The 25,351-nt window shown below is 37.5% G+C and overlaps 1 long non-coding RNA gene and 1 pseudogene across 2 annotated transcripts in view; one reads left to right on the top strand and one right to left on the bottom strand.

The window, feature by feature from the left end:
* The window catches only part of STEAP2-AS1 (STEAP2 antisense RNA 1), a 329,283-nt gene that overhangs the window by 224,259 nt on the left and 79,673 nt on the right, over positions 1-25,351 (bottom strand). The window lies entirely within an intron of this gene.
* Positions 12,789-18,989, top strand: DPY19L2P4 (DPY19L2 pseudogene 4; annotated as a pseudogene). Its single transcript, NR_003551.1, has 3 exons — positions 12,789-13,254; positions 15,456-15,480; positions 17,463-18,989. The product of NR_003551.1 is annotated as a DPY19L2 pseudogene 4 (transcript).

Genomic DNA, 25,351 nt, shown 5'->3' on the forward strand with positions numbered 1-25,351 from the left:
TGTACCAGTCTATCTGAGTTCTTAGGTGACAAGGTACATTGTCAATGAGCAGTAATATCTTTAAAGGAATCTTTTTTTTAATTTTCTGAACAGTAGGTCTCAACAGTGAGCTTAAAATATTCAGCAAACCATGCTGTTAACAAATGTTCTGTCATGTGGGCTTTGTTGTTCAATTTATAAAGCACAGAGAGAATAGATTTAGTATAATTGTTAAGGGTCCTAAGATTTTTCAGAATGGCAAATTGACATTGGCTTCAAATTAAAGTCACCAGCTGCACTGGCCCCAAACAAAAGGGTCGGCCTGTTCTTTAAAGCTTTAAAGCCAAGCATTGACTTCTTCTTTCTAGCTATGAAAGCCCCAGATGGCATCTTCTTTCAATATAAGGCTGCTTTGTCTATATTGAAAATCTGTTGTTTAGTGTAGCCACCTTCATTGATGATTTTAGCTATATCTTCTGGATAACTTGCTGTATCTTCTACACGAGCATTTGCTGCTTCACCTTACACTTCTATGTTATGGATATGGCTTCTTGTCTTAAACCTTATGAACTAACCACTGCTAACTTCCAACTTTTCTTCTGCAGCTTCCTCACCTCTCTCAGCCTTCATAGAATTAAAGAGAGTTAGAGCTTTGCTCTGGGTCAGGCTTTGGCTTAAGGGAAGGTTGTGGCTGGTTTGGCCTTCTATCCAGACCATTAAAACTTTCTTCATATCAGCAATAAGACTACTTCACTTTCTTATCATTACTGTGTTTGCTGGAATACCACATTTAATTTCCTTCAATAACTTTTTCTTTGCATTCACAATGCGGCTACCTGTTCGGTGCAAGAGGCCTAGATTTTGGCCTATCTTAGCTTTCAACATGCCTTCTTCACTAAGCTTAATGGTTTCTAGCTTTTGATCGAAAGTGAGAGATACGCAACTCCTCCTTTCCCTTGAACATTTAGAGGGCATTGTAGGGTTATTAATTGGCCTAATTCAATACTGTTGTGTCTCAGGGAATAGGATGGCCCAAAGAGAGGGAAAGAGATGGGGGAACAGCCAGTCAGTGGAGCAGTCAGAACACACACATTTATGGATTAAGTTCACCATCTGATATGGGCATAGCTCATGGTGCCCCAAAACAACTATAATAGCAACATCAAAGATAACTGATCACAGATCACCCTAACAGATATACTAATAATGAAAAAGTTTGAAATATTGTGAGAATTACCAAAATGTGAAACAGACATGAAGTGAGCACATGCTGTTGGAAAAATGGCATCAATAGACTTGCTTAATGCAGTTTTTTTAAGTGCAATATATTTATTTCTGCTAGAAATATATTATCAACCTTATGTAATATTTGAAGCATTACATATTATTTGTAAACAGCTTAAAATTATATATTACCCCAATTGTATATAAGTACAAATGTGTGGATATTAGTTTCTTTCATTAAAAATGGTGTTTTTTTAAAAATACATATGCACCCATTTACACCTTTCATTCACTTACACTGTTTTATGATGTTTGGTACCTGTTTCCTCACCTGAAAAAAAGGATTAGATAAGATCGTGGGTCCCAGCTGGCCACTCACAGGCTGGACGCAGCCCGGGATTACTGCACAGTATTTTGGGTTTGTCTTTAGTTGCATTTGAAAGCCTTTGGAAAAGACATTGCTCTCAAGTTCCCACTATTTTCCATTTTCTGCACCCAGTCCCCTTCATTCGTGTATGCTACCCAATGAACCCTCACAATCACATGATTTTGCACCTCTCTGTACTGAATTATACTGAAGACTCCATAAAACTTAAAAACTCCTGTATCTCATTTCAGCCATGAGCACTTGGATATGCTGTAATGATATTACACAAAGCAGAATGACACCAAATAAGATTAGCCAAATTGTAAGTCTTAATCCTCCTTCCACACGACATTCCTTTAAAATATTTGATGTTATCATTACCCCCTGCTTTCAAAAGTCTACTCTATTACCCTTAATTTTTTTGTGCATGCCTAACACCAACCTTTTAGAAATCTTTTATTTGGAAGGATTTCATGCTTAAGGTAGAGTTGCAAGAAGACCATAAAGAAACTCTGTACACCCTTTATGCAGATTCACAATTGTTAATCTTTTGCCCTATTTACTTTATCATGTGCATTTACAGTGAGTAGTGTGTGCATAAACACACATGCACATGCATAGATATGTAATATATACAAATTATTTTTCTGAACCCCTTGAGAGTAAGTAGCATGTCATGCCCCATTATCTCTAAATAATTGAAAGTGTATTTCCTAAAAACAAGATTCCACTAAATAATCACAGTAGGGTTAGCAACTTCAGGAGATTTAACAATGATGCAGTACTTTGACGTATCATCTGTATTCCAGATTTGTCAAATTACCCAGTAATGTCATTTGTAGCATATCTTTTCTTCAGTACAGATCCACTTCAAAATCACATATTGCATTTAGTCATCATGCTACTTTAGTCTCCTTAAATATAGTACAGTTCTTCAGCCTGTCTTTGTCTTTCATGGCAAAAGGATTCCTATTGTATTAGAAATCATGAATTCATACTGATACCTCCAATTCCAATGCACTCCCACAGAGTCCTCTTTTCTTGCTTTGCCCCGTTTGATATCTGTATGGAATACAGTGGAAGAAGACTCAACAATTACCTCAACGTATTTATTTACTCAACTCTACCATACACTTAAAACTAATTTCAGATTGCTTCACCTGTACAACTACAACACACAAACCTTCTAAAAAGAGGTCAGGGTTTGTTTGCATTGTTTCTGTGCTACTCAACTAACAGTGTATAGCCAGATGATATGTTCAGCAGTTACTTTGATTAATTCCTTTTTTGTCCTCCTGGATAGTTATGTTACTCATGCGCAATACAAGTGGGTTTATTTGTTCGGTTTGTTTGGAGTTTTAATGGATCTTTTCCTTCCTATTTTTATGGATATTTTTAAAAAATAGAAAATAATGTGCTTTCAACAAACTCATAGATCTAATAAGTGATTATGGCAAGGTTGAATTATAGCAAGGTTAGAGGATACAAGATTAATACTTTAAAAGACCGTTGCTTTCCTATATACCAGAAATGAACAATTGGAATTTGAAATAAACAGTTATATCATCACTAAAAAAAGAAAAAAGAAGAAATAGGTTTAAACAAAATATTCACAAAAGCTATATAAGGTAAACTACAAAACTTTGACAAAATAAATCAAAGAAGGTCTAAATAAATGGAGAGATAGTCCATGTTCATGGATAGGTAGACTCAATATTGTGAGGATGTCTGTTCTTCCCAACTTGATCTATATATTCAATGCAAACACAACCAAAATTCCAGCCAGTTACTTGTGGCTAAGAACAAACTGATTCTAAGGTTTATTTAAAGGCAGAAGACCCAAAATAGCCAACACAGTATTAAAGAAGAAAAACAGTCAGAGGGCTTAAACTACCCAACTTCAAAACTTACTACAGAACTATAGTAATAAAGACAGTGTACTATTGGCAAGAGAATAGACAATTAGATAAACGGAACAGAGAGCCCAGAACTAGGCCCACATAAATATAGTTAAATGACCTTTGACAATGGAACAAAGGCAATTCAGTGGAGAAATAATAATCTTTTCAACAAATGGTACTAGAACAACTGAATATCCACATGCAAAATAATAAGTCTAAACACAGACCTTAAATCTTTTGCAAAAATTAACTTAAATGGATCATAGACTTAAATACAAAATGCAAAACTATAAAACTTCTAGAAAGTAACAGGAGAAAATCTAGGTAGTTTTGGTTTTTTAGGTACAACACCAAAAGTACAATCCATTAACAAAAAAATTAACATGATGGACTGCATGAAAATTAAAAACTTCTGTGAAAAACATTGTTAAGAGAATAAAATGACTAGCCACACTCTGGGAGTAAATATTTGCAAAAACACGTATCTGATAAAGGATTCGTATTTCAAATATACAAAGAGCTCTTAAAACTCAACAGTAAGGAAAAGATGAATTATGGGCAAAGGATCTCTCTGAACAGACACTTAAAGATATACAGATGGCAAATAAGCATATGAAAAGATGCTCGACATCACATGTGATTAGGGAGTTGCAAATTAAAACATGAGCTACAACTACATACCTATTAGAAGAGCTAAAATTCAAAACACTAGCAATGCTAATGCTGGTGAGGATGTGGAGCAATAGGAACTCTCATTCATTGCTGGTGGAATGCAAAGTGGTACAGCCATTTAAAAAGATAGTTTGTCAATTCCTTTCAAAACTAACATAGTCTTATCATATGATCTAGCAAGTACGTTCCCGGGTATGTACCCAAGTGAGTTAAAATTTTATGTCCACTTAAAAATCTGCACATGACTGTTGACAGCAGCTTTATGCATAATTGCCAAAACTTAGAACTAAGATGTCCTTCAATAGGTAATGGATGAACAGTCTGTGGTATATCCATTTTCCATACAATGGAATATTTTTCAGCAATAAAAAGAAATGCACTATCAAGCTGTGAAAAGACTTGGAGGAATCTCAAATACATATTGCTAGTGAAAAATGAGCTATACACTGGGCGGTTCTAATTATATGACATTCTGGAAAAGGCAAAATTACAGAGATGGTAAAAAGATTGGTGGTTTCCACGGTTTGGGGGGAAAGAGGGAGAAATGAAGGGATGGTGCACAGGTGATACTTAGGCCAGTGAAATAACTCTGTGATGCTACTGTAGTAGTAGATACATGAAATCATGCATTTGTCAAAACTCATACTACTGTGCAACTCAGAGTAAGCTATAATGTAAACTATGGACTTTTTGGTCAATAATGCACCAATATTGGTTCATCAGTTGTAACTAACGCACTACAATAATGCAATAGTTTAATAATAGGGGAGACTGCCAGTGTGGGGGAGAGGGGATATACGGGACTTCTAGATTTTCTACTCGATTTTTCTGTAAACCTAAAACTGCTCTAAAAATAGCCTCTTAATAAAACAACAACAACAATAAGATACCGCTTAACAACCACTGCGATGGCTATAATTATAATTACTAACAAGTTGGCAAGGATGTGGAGAAATTGGAAACCTTATATATTGTCGGTAAGAATATAAAATGGTGTAGTCTGGCCATTCGTGAAAAGGATAAAACAACGTTACTTACTATATGACCCAGCAATTCCACTCCTAGATGTACACCCAGGAAAAATTAAGAGATATGTCCACACAAAAACCCGTACACGAATGTTCATAGCAGCATCATTCATGATAGGCAAAAAGTGGAGACAACCCAAATGCCCATCAACTGACAAATGGATAAATAAAATGTGGCATATCCATATAAAGGAAGATTATTCAGCTATAAAAAATGAAGTACGATAAATGTTACAGCATGGATGAACCTTGAAAACAGGATGCTAAGAGAAAGAAGCTGGTCAAAAAGGATTACATGTTATATGATCCCATGAATGTGAAATGTCCAGCATAGAAATATCCATAGAGATGGAAAATAGATTAGTGCATGCCAGAGGCTGGAAGGAGGGAGGAATGGAAATGACTGCAATTAGATATGGGGTTTCTTTTAGGAATAGTGAAGATTTAAATTCTGTTAACACTTATAACTAAGACACTGCACTAGCCCTTTAAATATTTCCAAATTTTAATTTTTTAAAAAAAGTCTACCTTGCTTTTTTTGAACCCAGGTATACAGCCTTAATTAAGAAATATGAAAGCTGCAAAACTCGATGGTTTTTCTACTAATGGATTATAAATTGTCACTAATAAGTATCTCAAAAAGGGTTTCAATGGATGGTACTAAAGATGAGAGCATTTTAAAGTTTCATATTTATCTTTAGGGGATGGGTCCATACCTATGCGAAAGCAGAGCTCTGCTGCCCCCAACAAGTCTGGTGGTCTTGATATAAACGCTTATTATTTATTTAGGGCTGTCTCACTCTCCTCCTTATTCTCTATTTGCCATTTAGGCTACTAGTAGATAGAAGTAATTAGAAAATAGGAACAAGGAGGCCCACCCTACTTAGAGACTGGGCAGTGCAGGTGAGAAGGAATCAGAGGAATAAAGTTCAGGGATAAGGGGGAGGCCAGGTTGGGGCTGGGCCGAAGAGATGAGAGAGATGAGCTCAGCCCTCTGGGTGGGCAATGACAAGTGTAGGTACTAGAGGACAAACTGTGGGATAGATTGCAGAGTAAGACCCTCAGGGTGGAGTCTGAACACATAGCTGGAGGCAGAGGAGGAGGGAAGGAAAAAAGTGGTAAAAAGAGATCTTAGTACAGGCCACTGTATGACTTAGCAGGTGCATCTACCTAAATATTTGTACAAATACCAACTAGAATCAAATAAGTTTAAAAGACCTTATCTAGGCCATGTCATCCAAAGTATTTTATAGTTGAGGAAATCAGAACTAGAGAAACAAAGTAAATTGGCCAAAGCATACTGGGCCTAGTCTAGTGATATATCTTCAACTCTATATTATAATCAAAGTTCAATCTTAAATCAACCTAAAATATTATATTATGTAAAATACAGCACACAGATTCATTATGTATCATTGGCACTTTTACTATGTTTTGCATTTAATCTGCCCATAAATATTCTGAAACTCATTCTTTAAATCATTTCCTGTTTGCCCCAAAAATACTCATCTCTAATCCTACTGTAACATCATCATCTACATTTCTGTTACATTAGGATTAGAGACAAATTCTGTTTATAAATAACTCTAAGAACAGTTTTTATATTTTATTTTCATGTTGAAAATCAGTCAGATTTGCTTCAGCCTCAAATAAAGTGTTTATGTAAAATTAAATGAGCACTGGCAGCAAGCTGCACTTTTTTTTTTACTAAATGGGGAAAATGGACTAATATAGCAGAGGCTTTTGCTTATTAATATTGAATGTAGTAATTCTTATATTAGTTACTTTGGTGGTAAATAAAAATAATCTCAATATGATGGAGTTTGTACATGGTATATTACCATCAAATCCAGGGAAAAATGGATTTTGTAGATTTGGGGATGTGGTACAAGTATATAAGTTTAGTTGTGTATATGTTGGTTAAGTCATTTAACAGTGATAACTGAGTACCAATCTGGTTCAAATGAATGTGCATATACTATGCAGTTGTGCAGTCTCTCTACTTGGAGCTGAAAGAATCTCCCAATTAATTTATGGATCACCTCCCTCCCTTTGAATAAGACACGCCTTTATAAGGCATGTCTTATCTGATAAAGGCCTAGAGTTGTTTATAAGGTATGTCATATCTGACATAGGCCTGGAGCACTACATGACCAGGGCATGGGTGGCTTACAGAGCTCTAGTTTTTTGGTTTTGGGGTTTTTTGGGGGGGTTAGGAGTGGGGAGTGGATAGCCCCCTCATGGACACAGAAAATAGATTGGAACTCTTGGAAATTCCAACTTGTTATTACAGATGCCTTTCTTCCATAGTCCAAAAGACAGCATTATGCAAAGTATCACTTACAGATGCATTTACATCTAAACTTGCTGTATGCTTCACAGCAAGTTGGTGTCTTTCCACTTTCTCCTTGATGAAGACCTGCATCCAATATGAATTTAAAGAGGCTCTGTAAAGTAATTCGACAGCAGCAAATATGCTATTTAAAAATGAGTCAATCCAAGATATGTAAATCCAAGAAAGGTTTTAGACTGAAGCAGTTGTTTTATAAAATACACATGCCCAAAGACACTTTTTTAGTGGAGGCAACTTGCTGAAGAAGAATTTGAAAGGATCTTTTAACATTTATAAGCAGACCAATTTGAAATTACCTAGAAAATAAGTAAGCTCCAAGAAGAACATACCTATGGCTATCCTATTTTTCGAAGGCAAAAATGGAGCTACAAAATTAAACAAAGGATGTATTTCATGTTTGAATTTGTAGAAAAAGTCTTAGAAAGGTATAATGAAAATAAATAAAATTACTAAATAAGATAACTATGAGATCCTAAGAATTTTGCCACCATCTTTGGGAATAACTAATGCTGATAAAGTAGAGACTAATACTTTGGTGCCAATTCCAACTCCTTGCACTGTACAAAGGGGGAAAAGTATCTTAATGCATAAGAAATTATGAGACAACACAAATAAAAACCAATCTTTTATGCAGAAAGTTTCAATTAAAGTGAAATTCATATTTTAAATTACCAAATTATAACCGGAAAAGTTTGTAATGTTTTCAAAATGGTCTTCGCCAAACTACCTCTATCTAGCCTGGAGGCTAGAGATGGAACTTAACTATCCACTTAAATTATATCTATGTATTTGTGCAAAGTTAAAACTTTAAATCTAATAAATTATTCGAATCAATTAAAACAAAGTCATTATTATTTGGAAAACTAAATCTTTGCCAGGATGAATATCTTAATTATTTTGACATATGAAATATGCAATGTAATTTTTATGTGGGGTTACATTTGGAATTTTCCTACATTTCATATTTAGTAAATGGATTTATTATAAGACAGTGATTTTTTTAAAGAATGAATTTAATAAGTAACTGTTTTGAAATTTTGATTTACAGATCATTATTGCCATCTGCTGGTTACATAGTTTAATTGCATTTTTTAAAATTCCCAATTGTTTTACTAAAAGACAAAGGAAAAACTGAGGCAAGTTTTAGATATCCATAACCGGATTAGAGATCTCTATGTAAGACAGATAATTTGCAGCCAGGTGCAGTGGCTCATACCTGTAATCCCAATACTTTGGGAGGCAGAGGCGGCAGGAATGCTTGAGGCTAGGAGTTTTAGACCAGCCTGGGCAACATAGTGATACCCCATCTTTACAAAAATAAACAAATTAGCTGTGTGTGGTGGCCTGCACCTGTAGTCCTTGCTACTCAGGAGGCTGAGGCAGGAGGATCCCTTGAGCCCAGGAGTTCAAGGTTTCAGTGAGCACCATCACACTTTAGCCTGTGTGACAGTGAGACCCTATCTTCAGAAAAAAAAAAAAAGCTAAATCATATGCATGAAAAAATGCTCATCATCCCTGGCCATCAGAGAAATGCAAATCAAAACCACAATGAGATACCATCTCACACCAGTTAGAATGGCGATCATTAAAAAGTCAGGAAACAACAGGTGCTGGAGAGGATGTGGAGAAATACGAACACTTTTACACTGTTGGTGGGACTGTAAACTAGTTCAACCATTGTGGAAGACGGTGTGGCGATTCCTCAGGGATCTAGAACTAGAAATACCATTTGACCCAGCCATCCCATTACTGGGTATATACCCAAAGGATTATAAATCATGCTGCTATAAAGACACATGCACACGTATCTTTATTGCAGCACTATTCACAATAGCAAAGACTTGGAACCAACCCAAATGTCCAACAATGATAGACTGGATTAAGAAAATGTGGCACATATACACCATGGAATACTCTGCAGCCATAAAAAAGGATGAGTTCATGTCCTTTGTAGGGACATGGATGAAGCTGGAAACCAGCATTCTCAGCAAACTATCACAAGGACAAAAAATCAAACACCGCATGTTCTCACTCACAGGTGGGAATTGAACAATGAGAACACTTGGACACAGGAAGGGGAACATCACACACTGGGGCCTGTCATGGGGTGGGGGAAGGGGGGAGGGATAGCATCAGGAGATATACCTAATGTAAATGATGAGTTAATGGGTGCAGCACACCAACATGGCACATGTATACATATGTAAAAAACCTGCACGTTGTGCACATGTACCCTAGAACTTAAAGTATAATAAAAACATATATATATAAAAGCTAAATCATGAGGCATCTCTGTTTCAAAGATGGTAAGATAATGCAAGAATATATTGCATCTTATCTAATTATAATGTGCTATTTTAATTGTCAATTAATCATAGATTAAATTATCAACCTAACTGCTTTAAGTTATTGTCATTAGTTAGTATACAGCTAAAATGTGACTCAAATAACCATTCAAAATAATGAGGTCAAAATAAGTGACCACTGTTACAGAAGCTGTAAAAACATGAAAACATCCATGATTCTATTCAACTGCACATAAAACTAAGTGTCATGATTTCCCTCTTATACACAAATCTACTCCTCTCCTTAGTAGGAGTAGATACATAATGATTTAGGCAACTATCTCTCAGTTAACTAATGAATCTAAAACATGTATTACTGTTTAATAATTACTAACATATCACTTGATGACAAAGAAACCAAGTGAGCAAAATATTAATTGGAAGTATTGGCAAAAATAGCAATTACTTTTGCACCAACCTAAAAATACTCACGAGTGCACTATAGGATGGCCGGTCTAGAACATAATAAAGGAACATTTGTTTAAGCATGTGCTGTGTTTTTGATGCTTTACAAGCATTAATTCATTCAATCATACCATCAGTAAGACAAATATAACTGTCTTCATTTTTCAGATGAGGAAATTAATCCTAGAGTGGCTAAATTACTAGCTCAAGGTCATACATTGGTAATCTTCCTATATGAGTCCCCTGTGTAAAAGATTTAGAGCAGCACATGGCACACAGTTAATTTTATGTGTTTACTAAACATATGAATCATAAAATATATCCTGCTTCTTTTTTCCTTTAACATTATATCATGACTATTTTCCTATATCATTAAATATCCATGCAAAATGACTTTAGTGGCTGTAATGCTTCACTATATGAATGTTTCATAACTTAGTGTTTGATACTGAGGCCACTTCTATTTTTTAACGATATAAATAATAGCACAATGAACATTCTTATAAAAAGATTAATTTTTTAAATGATAAAAATGACCAGATTTGTACTTTCAAGGGCTAGACCATGGTAAGAGCATTTTGTATCCCACCAGGACACCAAGTGATGCAAAAGGCAATTGGAAACTCCAGAAAAAACAAACTGACCAAAAAGAAAAACAATCGCTCCACTTCACTTATTGTTCCAAAAAACATTAAAACAGTCATATTTTAAAATAAGGTGCTTTATTTTGAGTTTGCCTAGCCATTCAAGAATATATTCTTATCAACCACCGTAAATACTTTGTATTTTAAATGCAGTATTGGACAGATAGAATTTATTAGCTGTTAAAACTTGGGCAAATAACTACATCCTGATGCTTGATTTTAAAATTTGCATACAGTTATTGCAAGAATTAAGTGAGAAAACATTTTGAGCACCAAACACAATGCCAGGAATGTAGAAATGCTCCTTGAAAAAAATCTCCCAAAACAAAAAATGAGCAGTAGTAGCACTTACTGAATTTAACTAAGTGACAAGATAAATAGTACTGTCAGTTAAGTGCTTTAGACCTTCAGAAAAAGCATAATTAATATGGGCTGGAGAAATGGGCTGGGGCTTGGAAGGTGACAGCATTCAGATGGGCAGGGAGAAAAGAATGTAAAAGCCAAGGGATGGCTTTTCCACATGAATAAAGGAATTCAGCGGTTATGATGTCTCAGGCTGTGGACTTCACCTGAAATGACTGAGATGGAAGATTTTGTGCCCGAGGAAGTGGGAAATTAAAGTTGAAAAGGTATATTGGGCAAATATTGAAGGCATTGGTGAGCAAGCCTAGGACTTGATTTGTGGGCCACGAACATTTTTGTGCTGTGTTGCATCAGGAAAAATTAACCTGGCCACAATGAGCCATGCTTTAGACTGGTCAGTTAGGATATGGGAGTTCAATTTGATCCATCATCAAACAGATGGGAAGTAAAGCGGTGTGGGCTCCAGCATGTGGCCCGTGACAGAGGACATGGAAAATGTCAGTGGCCCCAGTGCATCTGTGACAGCCGCTTTGGCCTCTTGTAGGGCTGCGCGGTGACTGGGAGCTAAGCGCTCCCCTCTTAGTTGGTCTTGGCTGGTGCTGAAAGCGCTTGAGCACACCGCTCCTAGGGCTGATGACTTCTGAGGAACCTTATTGGAAAAGCATTTTGCTCTAAGATTCAGTAAACGCTGTCCCGTGCCAAGGAAGTCGCGTCAACCTGAGGCTCTGGGATCAGACCCACCGGACTCACGCGGGCTCTGCCACGTGTTGCCCGCAGTCTCGGCCCGTTCCCTCCGCTTTGGTAACGGGCACTGACTGTCCGATACCTCAGCGATCGTAGGAGAGCAGAGACGTCCCTCATGCCGGGCGCACCACCGGCGGGCCGGCGGTTCCGTTGGCTTCCCTGACATACTTCCTACAGTCATTTCTTTCAGCTGAGATCTTCCCCTTTAATACCTCGTTAATTAACGTGTAACCTTTTGGTTAAAATGTCAGAGCTAAGACTAAATCTGAAGAAAAGAATGAAACCACCGTAAGTTCTTCAGACTCAGTCGTCAGCAAGGTTATGGCCCGAAGCCGTGCAGAGGCGGCGCGCGGGGAAGCTACTGGCAGAGCTGTGCGCACTGGGGGTGCTGCAGGCGCTGGGGAGAGTGTGGAGAGGCTGCGTGGAGCTGCGCGCTCGGGGTGGGGGCTGCACTCCCAATGAAGCGCGTGAAGGGCAAGCGGTGATGGGTTCTGCGCCAGTGGGGCTGGGAGCGTGTCGGGGGCTGTACGTGGGGCTGCGCGCAAGGTGAGAACTGCGCATCTAGGCTTGGGGACTGCGCGCACCAAAGGCTTGCAGGCGCTGGGGAGGGTGGGGGGGCTGTGCGTGGGGCTGCTCTCACCGGAAGCTGCACGCTCGGGGAAGCGCGGAGGCGGGGGTGCTGCGCGCTTGGGAGCACGTGGGGGAACACGCAGGGACTGCCGGCGCGAATGGCTTCGAACGCATGCGCCCCACCCGACATTTCACAGTCGCCATGACGACCGGTAGGTCCGCAACGGCTGCGGGGACAAGACCGTTGAGGCTGCCAGGCGAGTCAGGCCTTTCTGGACCTCGCCTGACTCGGCTGGGCTGTGCCTGAAATTGACCCAGCTCTATCAGGGATTATGAAAAAACAAGGAGTAAGCCCGAAGCCGCTGCAGTCTTCCCGCCCCAGCCAGTCTAAGCGGCGGTGCGGGCCTCCCCCTTCCCCCCCGCCTCCGCCCCGGAGCCGGAGGTAGAGGAGGTGGAAAAGTCGGCCCTAGGCGGCGGGAGGTCCTTCCGGCGGAGGATCCGAAATGTGGAAAATCGAAAAGGCTTGGAGCTAAAGGTGGTGGCCAAGACCCTTCTTCTCGGCCCCTTCCTGTTGGTCCGTAATTCCCTGGCGCAGCTCCGGGAAGAGGTGCACGAACTGCAGGCGTGGTGGTTCCCCAGCAGAACCACTTTGGACTTCGGTAAGGAGAGGGCAGGAGAGCTCCAGGAGGTAGCCGCATGGCGCTTTTCTTGAGTCTTGAAGGAGATCAGTTTAACAAGCAAGGGTTTGTGGGTGCCTAGTAGGAAATAAAAGCAAGGTCCGAATAGAAAGAAGTTGGCCAAAAATCTTGTCATTGAACCAGGGGAGAGAGAGAGATAGGGAGTATATTGGTCTGAAGGGCTGTCAGATCGCAGAGAGTGTTTTAAGGTCTAGGAGTTTTAAAGGCTGAGGGGAAGGATCAAGGGAAGAGGATCAGATTAAGATTCCAAGAGAGGAAATAATTAGTGGAGCAAGTCTTGGAATATTTGGAGGGGTAGAATTAAAGGCACAAATTTGAGAAGCTAACTGTGGAAAAGAGGAGAGAGAATTCCTTTTCTGAGATGGCAGGGAGTAGAAAAGCGAGGATTACTATATGGAGAAATGTTAAAGTGGAGATAAAAGAAGTTGGGAGTGCTGGCGTCTAATGGTCTTTGTTTCAGTGAAGTATGAGGCTGGGTCACCTTCAGAGGTGAGACTGATAGGATGCCGGGGTCCAGGGGACATGCTTCTGTCACAGCTTGGAAAGGGCATGTGATAAGCCCTTCAAGCATTTAGAATACTGGCATCGTTGCAACATATCATTTTTTTCAGATGTGGTATGTGGGTTAAGGGAGGGAGTGAGAGACACAGAAAGATTTTGAGCATCTTTGGAAAGCTGGATGAATTTGGTAGTATATTTGACCTTTTCCTTATATATCATCTGAAGAGTTTTTGCCAGTGTATATAATTGTTAGGAGAATTAGAAATAGGATACAAATATAGTTGAACAGGATAGTCTCTGTATATTTTAAAATTAATGAAGCCTAATAAACAGTTAATGAGCATCTTTACAACCATTTAAAGTTTTCAACCTTTTAAAAATTATAGCAACCGTGCTTGCAGACAGTCCAAAAATACACCATGGGCCATACTTTGCCTATCCTGGTATAAAACAAGTAAATCTTCCAAGAAGTATTTAAGATAAGCCCAGGACAGTTAGTAATATAGGAAAAGATCTGGGTAAGCATGGTTGACAATTTCAACATTGCAATTTTTTAATTTTTAAAAATTTAATTTCTTCAATAATTATTGAATTAATTTGCATTTATTTTGTTAGCCAAGTGAAGTAATTTTTGAATTTTTAAGAGGCTATTATTGGTGGTTTGTAAGATGACTTGCCAAGTATATTTGGGATAACCATAAGAAATACCATTATAAAATCTCAGAAGGGAGGTAGGACTTCTGGAATAGCCAAGGAAATGCACTCCTCCATGACGACAATGAAAATACTTGGAAAATTATCAAAATCATTTTCTTCAAAACTTTGGAAATTAACCAAAGGTTTACAACAATCTAAAGGGCATTAATTCAAGAAAAGCTGCTGAACCTCTATAAGAATAGCAAAGTTTGTGGTGTTTTAACTTGTTCTATTCCCCACTCTTCTCTCTCCAGGGGAATTGAAAACAAGCAATTCCCCAACCAAACAGGGGCACAGGCTGCGTTTGCAGCTCCTGTAAAAGCTCCATACCCAGAGCAGTGTCTCCCAGCTCCCAGGTGAAGTCTTATGTATACATGGGGCGTTGGCACAGGTGACTCCAGACTAGTCTCCTAGGCCATCTAGTAGCTTCTAGGTCTCGGCTCTTGTAAAGAGCTTGCAATTCATCAAGGGTTGAGCTGCACATTGGGGCTTTTAGATGTGCTGCTGAGGAAGTGATTTCCTGCATTTAATCATCTTCTGATGAATGCTAGAGAAACTGATCTAGAGTGGCTCCTCTTGGTTAGAACTAGCTGAAGCATACTGTATATACTTACTTCTTTTAAAAATTTCATATAAAGGAATAGAAAATAATACTGAAAAAAAAAAAACAAAAAAGGTCGCAATCTTCCATAATTCCATCACTCTTACCAATTACCTGAAGTAAAAAAACCCTCTCAAGTTTCTCCCTTTGCTTATCAAGCCCTGCTGCAGAGAGGTAAGCTCTGTTCAGAATTTGCTTTGTGTCCTGGATTTTTTCCTATGCTCATAGAGACAGGATTAGCTGGCCATCTTGCTTTGTGTGCTATCTTTCTAGACATGTAAAATACTACATTTGAAATACTTGTTTTAATGGTATTTTATAATAAAGCAGCTATTAATAACTTTCCTTTTTTTCTTTATTCCAGCAGTCCTTGTGGCTTATCTCCATTGGTAAGATTTAGTTTCAGTTTGAAATATTTAAAAACATTTGAATTAAAAATTGCCATCTCTCTTTGCATACAGTAAAACAATAACTTCTGGCTATATTTGTAGAACATCTTTATGTGCACCAATTTATACATGTATTTTGCTTTTTTACAAACCTCATATGTGAAACAGCATTTACAAAATAGATGCATTAGGGGAATAGTAACTTACGAATTAAAATATTTTTGCTTTACTAAATAATTCACCACACGTTTCTTTAAATATCTAGCTTTTCTAGTGTATTTTGCATGTGTAGTTCATTTAAAACCTTCCTTTATTTTATGGTAATTATATGTTGCTAGTGAAATAACTTTTTTTTTTTTTTTTTTTTGAGACAGAGTCTTGCTCTGTCTCCCAGGCTGGAGTGTAGTGGCGTGATCTTGACTCACTGCAACCTCTGCCTCCCAGGCACAAGTGATCCTCGCGCCTCAGCCTTCCAAGTAGCTGGGATTACAGGTGTGCACCACCACACCCAGCCAATTTGTTGTATTTTTGGTGGAGACAAGGTTTCACCATGTTGGCCAGGCTGGTGTCAAACTCCTGGCCTCAAATGATCCACCTGCCTCGGCCTCCCAAAGTGTTGGGATTACAGGCATGAGCCACCACATTCAGCCAGTGAAATAACTTTGGTGATAAAGTTTTAGCAACACCTGCCAATTGGAAATCAGTTAAAAAAGAAGTTAAAGATTCTGCAGTGGTTATATGGTTAAATGGCTCTGAGTCTTTCAGTGTGCAAGCCTGTGTACATTATTTTACAAAAGTGTTTATAAAAATTTGTAAAATAATATTTCCTTCTGGAATATTTTATTTTTACCTGTGCTCAGTGATTTCTACCCTTGGGAGGTATGAGATCTGCCCCTATGTTCTATTGACACAGTGCTGCTCTAGACATTTAGTCTGCAGGGAGATTTTGATGTTAGAACTGAGGCTGCAATGGTAGGGAATATTCCTGCAGTATTTGGTACCCTGGCATATGGCCTACATGTAAAGAAGGGTTAGTGGAAAACAGGGTTAATATATGGAACTTTGCTTTATTTTCAACTTCACTGGAAAGTACTGACTACATAAGTTAGCTATAGCATAATTGTTGGCCATAGCTAATTTTGTTTATCACATATGCTCTTTTCTTCACTGCCTATAGCTGTTGAGTTTCACTACTAAAAGGTCTTCAAGTACACACCTGTATTCTTTGGCACTTGAAAGTTGATCCTTTATGTGATATTATACTTATTGTAAGTCTGCTTTGATCTAAAGTAATTTTATTTAAAATTATATTCTGAACCCTTTTCAACAGTTATGGAGGTATTTCCCAAGGCTGGTACATTAGAATCACTTGAAACTTAAAAAACAAACACTAACCTGCCTCTGTTCCGATTTAGAGGCCTGGGATGGAAGGAAGGGTGAAAAAAGCCACAAGAATTTTAGATATACAATTAAGGTTTTTGTTTTGTTTTGTTTTGTTTTGTTTTGTTTTGTTTTGTTTTGTTTTGTTTTTGAGACATGATCTCTGCTCACTGCAACCTCCACCTCCTGGGTTCAAGAAATTCTCCTGCCTCAGCCTCCCTAGCAGCCAGGATTCAGACATGCACTACCATGGCTGGCTAATTTTTGTGTTTTTAGTAGAGACGGGGTTTCACCATGTTGGCAAGGCTGGTCTCGAACTCCTCACCTCAAGTGATCTGCCCGCCTCGGGCTCCCAAAGTGCTGGGATTACAGGCATGAGCCAATGTACCCGGCCACAATTAAGCTTAAAAACCACTGAGTTAAGGAATTTCAGGTGTGTGCCGTACTGGATTATAAATGCTGAAAAACATACAAGTTAGTAAGCAAATTATAAAATTAATATTATAACAATTGTTTTCTTTTTTATGGCTTTCTTATTGTTTATTTTACTGTTAGTTTTGAAACTTGTTCTTATTGTAATATGATTCTTCATTTTTTTCTAGGTTACATTTAGTAAAACTTTGTGAAAATTATCGTCATTTCTCTCACCTCTCATCTTTGGAACGGGAGATGACTTTTTGCACCAAAATGGTTAGGTTTCTTCTTCTAACGAATTAATTTGTGGTTTAAGAATAGCGAGACTATGAGGTAGAGATGTATTAGGAATTGAAATGAACTTTTGGTGAACTGCACTGTTTCATAAGCTATAACCCAGGTTTATTATTTAAATAGTAAAGTGTTTGAGATTATTTTTCTGTTACTTCATTATCTCTCACCCTTTCCTAATGCAGACTTCTTTTTAAGATAATAAAGATGAATTATAATAGCTGAGGAAGGAGAAGAATGCAAGCTCTGAAATGACATCCTTAAATGCTGATACTGGTTACAACCTCTTTACCTCTCTGAGGAAATTGTAACAGTGTGTCTTTTAGGGTGTTTTTATTTTACCAGCCCTTAAGAAAGATCTCTAATACGTTTTAATGCTTTTTTTTATAATTTCAAGTTGAAGTGTTTTTAAAAACACCTTGTTTTGTAATGTTTTGAATCTCTTGAGATGTATTTACCCCACTAGATACATATTTGCCACTGGTTAGTTCTCCATCTAAGCTCAAGAGGTTATTCATCTCTCTTTAGATTCCAGTGGTTTTTCTTTTAACTTCCAGGTAAAATAGAAACTGCTATGGTATACAACCAAATTTTGGGGTTAAACATAATCAGAAAAGAAAATCCAGTTAAATTTATGAAGTGAGATTTTCAGATCCTAGATCTTGAATATAGCAAAGGTCTTTTCATCTTGATGGCCCCAAAGCTTGTTGGTCATAGTCTATTTCTGGCCATTATCTTCTTAAATAATCTATTTTTAAGCCCTCATTTATTTTTGGTTTTGGATGAGGAAAGTCATGTTTTCTAAGTCCTCTCCCCTAATAAAACCTACCCAACAATAGTGCTTTGAAAAGTGGTAGTTATCTTGAAGATACTCTTGCCAAATGCAAAGATAAACATTCTTTTTGTCTGCTTTATAAATATGAAATATGCCAGATCTATAGTATTTTAATGTGCATCTACTTTAAATGAGTCATCTTGGGGTTTTTATAATTCCCTTACATTCTTGCCCCTCTACACTTGAAATAACAAAATACCTTAATTTTATAGATTAGTTCTCTTATAGTAGACAGGCAGCTATATGCAGCAAAACCAATAAAGTTATTTTTCAACTTTCATAGTTGTAAAATATTTTATAGCAATACAAAACAGCTAAGAAAACATGCCACATTTTATTTTAGCATTTTCAAATAATTTGTTTTTGGTGTAAGCACAGGATAAAAAAGGAGAGCGTCAAAGAAAAGAGACATAACACCTAACATTCATAAAAATTAACAAAGTATATTTTGGATGATATTTTTACAGGAAATATTTTAAATAAGTTGGTAGAATTTTTAAAATGGTACTGTATTAGCTAATAAAATATTCAGTACAAATATATGTTTGGATTTATGCATTAAAAAACTAATAAAATTATTTCCAACTTTTGTATTTGTAAATTATTTTGGTACAGGAGACAAAGCATCTAAGAAAGCATGCTGCACATTTTACTTATTTTAGCATTGTCATATAATCTGTTTCAGTGATGTGTGGGGCAAAAAAGGAAAAGAGACATAACACCTAACATTCATAAAATTAAAGTAACACATTTCAGATGATGTTACAGTAGCAAAGACTTGTAACTAACCCAAATACCCATCAATGATAGACTGGATAAAGAAAATATGTCACATACACACCATGGAATACTATGCAGCCATAAAAAAGGATGAGTTCATGACCTTTGCAGGGACGCGGGTGAAGCTAGAAGCCATCGTTCTCAGCAAACTAACACAAGAACAGAAAACCAAACACCATATGTTCTCACTCATAAGTGGGAGTTGAACAATGAGAACTCATGGACACAGAGAGGGGAACATCACACACCAGGGCCTATTGGTGGGGGGTGGGGGTGGGGGGCAAGGGGAGGGAGAGCATTAGGACAAATACCTAATGCATGCAGGACTTAAACCTTAAATGACAGGTCGATAGATGCAGCAAACCACCATGGCACATGTATACCTATGTAACAAACCTGCATGTTCTGCACATGTATCCCAGAACTTAAAGTAAAATAAATTTTAAAAAGTCAGTAGAACTCAACAAAAAATGGATGAGCTGTACTAATAAAATGTTCCATACACATATGATGTTTTCATATATATTTATGTTATTTTCATGTACTATCTGTGTTAAGTAACTGTAAAGCCCTTGAAGATCCTGTTTTCTGTCTTTTCTCATCCTTCACAATGCATACATTTTGAAATTGAAATTGTTCTCATATAAAGGGAGAAATCATAGGTTGCTGGGCTTACTAGCCATGTTTACACTGGCAGTGCTCTTTCTTAGCCATTTAAAAATGATTCTGTATAGTCTTACACAGAAGGCAATATACTATGATGGAAATAGTGTGAGCTGTGTAATGAGATGTATCTAAGTTTGAATACTGCTTCTTCCATTAGTTAGGTACCACCATGTATTCAAAAGATATTCATTAAACACTTACTGTATGTCAGGCACCATGCTATGGTTGGTCATGTTACTTAACTCCATGAGCTTTCTTCACCTGTAAAGCAGAACTCACAATACCTACTTGGCAGGGTCATTATGAGGATTAGTGAAACAAAGTTTTGAAGTACCTGGCACATAAAGGCACTCAACAAACATTAGTTTCTTCTGCACTACCCCCTACAGCTCACTAATAACCATTTTAGTAATATCAAGTTACAGAGTGAGGTTAGCTCATTTCAGAATTCCAAATAGTCTCACCTTTATTTGACGTCAACAAATAGGAGTACTGGGCTGCAGCTTGTTCTTATGCAAATTGTTCTACTGAATTCTTGCCTGTATAAATTTTATTTTTTATTCTTTTGAAACATGAGAAGATTTTCACTTAATTCAATGAAGCTTTTTCCATAGTTTCTAGGATCCTATGTTTGCACACTAATCTGAAACTATGGCTAGAAGTGAGGTGCACACAAGCTGCAACAATTCCTTCATCTGCTTCATCCAGTTGTCAGAAGCAAATGCACAGCTTCAACAGTATCTGTGTTGCTTTGCTGCTGGTAGACACCAAAAATCTGAGTACTTTAATAATAAAATTATGTTTATATTTTTATACATTACATGTTCCTATTATACATGAAGGACAAACTCATAGAAAAATTAGTTTTGAAAAAAACAGGACATTTTAAAGAAGGGGACAATTATATATATACATACACATAGCAGCAAAAATGGCAATAGCTCAAAAGTGGTTAAGATATACATACAGACACTGCAATGAACATCTTAGTGCATACTTTGTGATTTTAAAGTTATTTCCACAGGATAGATTTCATAAAGTTAAATTTCCTTAAATAAATTGTGGACACCCTTAAAGCCTTCAATGCAGTTAGCCTCAAATTACCTTTGCAAAGCTATGTGTGCACCTTTTGGATTGTATGCACCACCAAAAGTTAGTGTGTATAACAATGCTCATTTTACAACACTCTCATTGGGATTAATTAGCCTTATTAAGAATATATTTTGCTAATTTGTGAGGCCCAAAATAGTATTTGTTATTATTTTCATTTGTATTTGTTCTATGTCCAGAAAAACTCACAATATTCTTTAGAAAGTGTATGTCTCTGAAGCTCTGTATGGGTTCATATTCTTTGATTCATTGAGTCTCTTCATAAAGGATGGGGATTGAGATAAGGGGAAAGAAAAACCTTTGAAAATTCTTAATAAGAGAAATATAAGGACATTTTCAAAAGGACAGGTATATATATAACTTCATGCACAAAAGTCAAATTTAAATGGGTCAAGGACTTAAATGAAAGTAAAATATTTAAAGTCTTAGAAGAAAATAGAGAAATACAGATTAAAACCACATGGTAACATTTACATGTCAGATAAGAATTGGTGAGGACAGGGTGCCACAAGAACTCTCATGAAATTATAGTAGGAGTGTAAATTGGTACAGACACCTTAGAAAATAAGTTGTTAATTCCTAATAAGTTTTAAAGTATGTAGTCTCTGCAATTTATAGTTTCACCCTAAAGAAATGTTGTTACAAATATACCAAGGAAACCAATTACAAGAATCTTCATGGAAGCATTATTTGTACCTGAGAAAAAAAAGCTGAAAACAACTCAAAGGCCCACCAACAGAATGGATAAAATGAATATTTCCATACAACGTAATATTGTAAAGGAATGAATGTGATCTACAGTCACAAGCATCAGTGAGAACCAATGTCAAATAGACTGTTAAAGATAAAAAACTAAGTCATCAAAGGGGATGTGTGTGCATGTCAATATATATGCCATTTACATAGGGCCTAAAAGCAAACAAGACAATATTATAGAAGATATAGTGTGGCAAAACAGCGAAAGCGTAGGCATAATTAATTCAAAACATAGGCTGGTGATCACTTCTAGGAAAGAATGCAATACAGGAGAAGCCCTGGGTGCTTCAATGTTAATATTCAATTTCTTGGTGTTAAGTATACAAGTGTTCATTTTATAATTCTTTAAAATGTGTGTTTATATATGTATATAATGCTTATATATTTATACTCTTCAAAGTAGGGCTTTTATTCCTCATCAGTGGTTCTTAAACCTCATGTTCTCTTTAGGTAACTCTGGGAGCTTAAATAAGCATCAAGAGTTGTTCTGATGACACGTCCAGCTATTCAAATAAATGTTCAAATTGTAGATTTTATTGTTTCCATTTGTGCAATGTATTTTTTTCCTTCCAACTTCTATTTTAGGTGCAGGAGTACATTTGCAGGTTTGTTATATAGGTAAATTGCATGTCATGGGGTTTGGTGTACAGATTATTTTGTCACCCAGGTAATAAGCATAGTACCTGATAGGTATTTTCTCAGTTCTCGCTCTCCTCCCACCCTCCACCCTCAAATAGGCCCTGGTGCCTATTATTCCCTTCTTTTTGTCCATGTGTGCTCAGTGTTTAGCTCCTACTTATAGGGAGCACATACAGTATTTGGTTTTCTGTTCTGTATTAGTTCACTTAGGATACTGGCCTCCAGCTCCATCCATGTTGCTGCAGAGGACGTGATCTCATTTTTTTATATGGCTGTATAGTATTCCATGGTATATATGTACCACATTTTCTTTATCCATTCCACCATGGGTGGGCATTTAGGTTGATTCCATGTCTTTGCTATTGTGAATAATGCTGCAATGAACATACGTGTATATGTGTTTTTATGGTAGAACAATTTATATTCCTTTGGGTATATATCCAGTAATGGGATTGCTGGGTTGAATGATAGCTCTGTTTAAATTCTTTGAAAAATCTCCAAACTGCTTTCCACAGTGGCCAAACTGGTTTACATTTCCACCAGCAGTGTATAAGTGTTCTCTTTTCTCCACAACTTCACCAGCATCTTTTTTTTTTTTTTTTTTTTTTTTTTTTACTCTTTCATCATAACTATTCTGACTAGTGTGAGATGGTATCTTACTGTGGTCTTGATTTGCATTTCTCTAATGATTAGTGATGGTGAACATTTTTTCATATGCTTGTTGCCTACATGCACGTCTTCTTTTGAGAAGTGTCTGTTCACACTTTTTGCCCATTTTTAATGAGGTTGTTTGTTTTTGCTTGTTGATTTAAGTTCCTTATAGGTGCTGGATATTAGACCTTTGTCAGATGCATAGCTTGCAAGTGTTTTCCCCCATTCTGTAGGTTGTGTGTTTACTCTGTTGATAGTTTCTTTTACTGTGCAGAAGCTCTTTAGTTTTATTAGATCCCATTTGTCAATTTTTGTTTTTGCTGCAATTTCTCTTGGCATCTTCATCATGAAGTCTTTGCCAAGGCATATGTCCATGGCCTTTCTTGTTTTCTTCTAGGGTTTTGATAGTTTTAAGGTTTACATTCAAATCTTTCATCCATCTTGAGTTGATTTTTGTATATGGTGTAAGGAAAGAGTGGTACAGTGTCTTAAAAATTACCAGATTGTGTTTCATAGGATTTTGAAAAAAAGATGTCATTCATAGAAATTGCATTAAAATTCACATCTCTCAGGATGTGTTTCTTCATCTGTACATAGGTGATAATACCTACCTCATAGAATTATGAGGATCAAGCCAAGTGTTCCATGTCAATGTGCATTATTAAGAGCTACACATGTGATCCATTTTAATACCACCAGACAATAGGCCAACTTTGAATTGGATGTTAATAAAAAAGCTATGATGTATTCATAATCCAAAAGAGCAAATAAGATTATTTATATTTGACTTAGAATAATTTTTTGAGGAGCTTTTGCAGCTACTGACTTCTTTAGTATGCTTGCCTGAGATTAAAATAGATATTGACTTACTTATTGTGCTTTTCTGAGGTTAAAATTCTTTCATATCCTTTGAGCACATATAGATAATGGCTTTTACTTTTAAAATTTTCTTCCAAGAGATACATATAACTCATATGTAAATATTGAGATTATTCAGATGAAGCTGCAAAGCCAGTTCACAGAATATACTGGATTGAATCATATCCAAGAACCTATGAATTTTATTTAAAAAGCACCTCAGCTATTGAAAAGAGCAAGACTGTTTACACAGCTTCATACAGACCTAAGAAATACAATGGAGATCATATACAAGAGTTATTTCTTTAACAAGGATGGTGTGGCAGCCACAAAATACACCACCTTTAGGGTATTCCTCTGAGAACCTGCTGTCCAGCTGCAGGGAGCACAGGTAACTGACAGCCTTCAACTGTAGCGCCATCAGCATCTGCATGGCATTCACTCTGGGTCACATTCTTCCTGGGTAACCCCCAGCCAATGACCGAGCAAGGAAGATATACTAGTCTGTTCTCACATTGCTATAAGGAAATACCCAAGACTGGGTAATTTACAAAGGTAAGAGGTTTAATTGACTCACAGTTCAGCATGGCTGGGGAGGCCTGAGGAAACTTACAATCATGGCAGAAGGTGAAGGAGAAGCAAGCCACCTTCTTCCCAAGGTGGCAGGAAGGAGAAATGAACACAGGAGAAACTACCAAACACTTACAAAATCATCAGCTCTCGTGAGAACTCACTACCACGAGAACAGCATGGGAGAAAACACCCCCATGATTCAATTACATCCACCTGGTCTCTCCCTTGACATGTGGGGATTATGGGGATTACAATTCAAGATGAGATTTTGGGTGGGGACAGAGCCAAACCAGATGAGAAGGGTACTGTAGGGCCTGGCTGTTTTGGCCCAATGCTGAACTGCTTCATCAGGCAATCTTTGCTCTGAAGCTGCTCACTGAGCAAGCCAAGCCCTGGTCAGCCGTCCTTTGCAACTGAAGGCTCTCCTGCTTTCTTCCTCTTTCATAGATGTCAACGGGCTGAAGGCTTTACCCACCCAATCCTGCTCCCCCTCCTCTAACAGCTATGACACCTTCCTAGTTTCACCCCTTCACCCATTCCAGTTTTACATAAGTTTTCCTCACTACACAGAGATGGTGCCACCAAGACCTTATTCATTTTACAACCTTACTGGGATCCCCTAATGAAATCCCTCTGAGACTATAGCACAGTAGACCCTGGCAGAAGACAGGACCCGGTACCTATAAGATGCCTTTCCTATCTCACGGATCCAGACCATTGTCAGATTTTAGAGTTCCTAGTATGGAGAAAAGTCCCTTGGGAACAGTAGAACCTGGACTGAACTCTTTTAAAATAAGTAGGAGGTAGGCGCCTGTGGTCCCAGCTACTCGGGAAGCTGAGGCAGAAGGATCGCTGGAGCCCAGGATGCAGAGAGACACGATGGCGCCACTGCACTGCAGCGTGGGCAACAGAGTAAGA

This window comes from Homo sapiens, chromosome 7, assembly GCF_000001405.40.
Source record: "Homo sapiens chromosome 7, GRCh38.p14 Primary Assembly".
NCBI classification, from domain to species: Eukaryota; Metazoa; Chordata; class Mammalia; order Primates; family Hominidae; genus Homo; species Homo sapiens.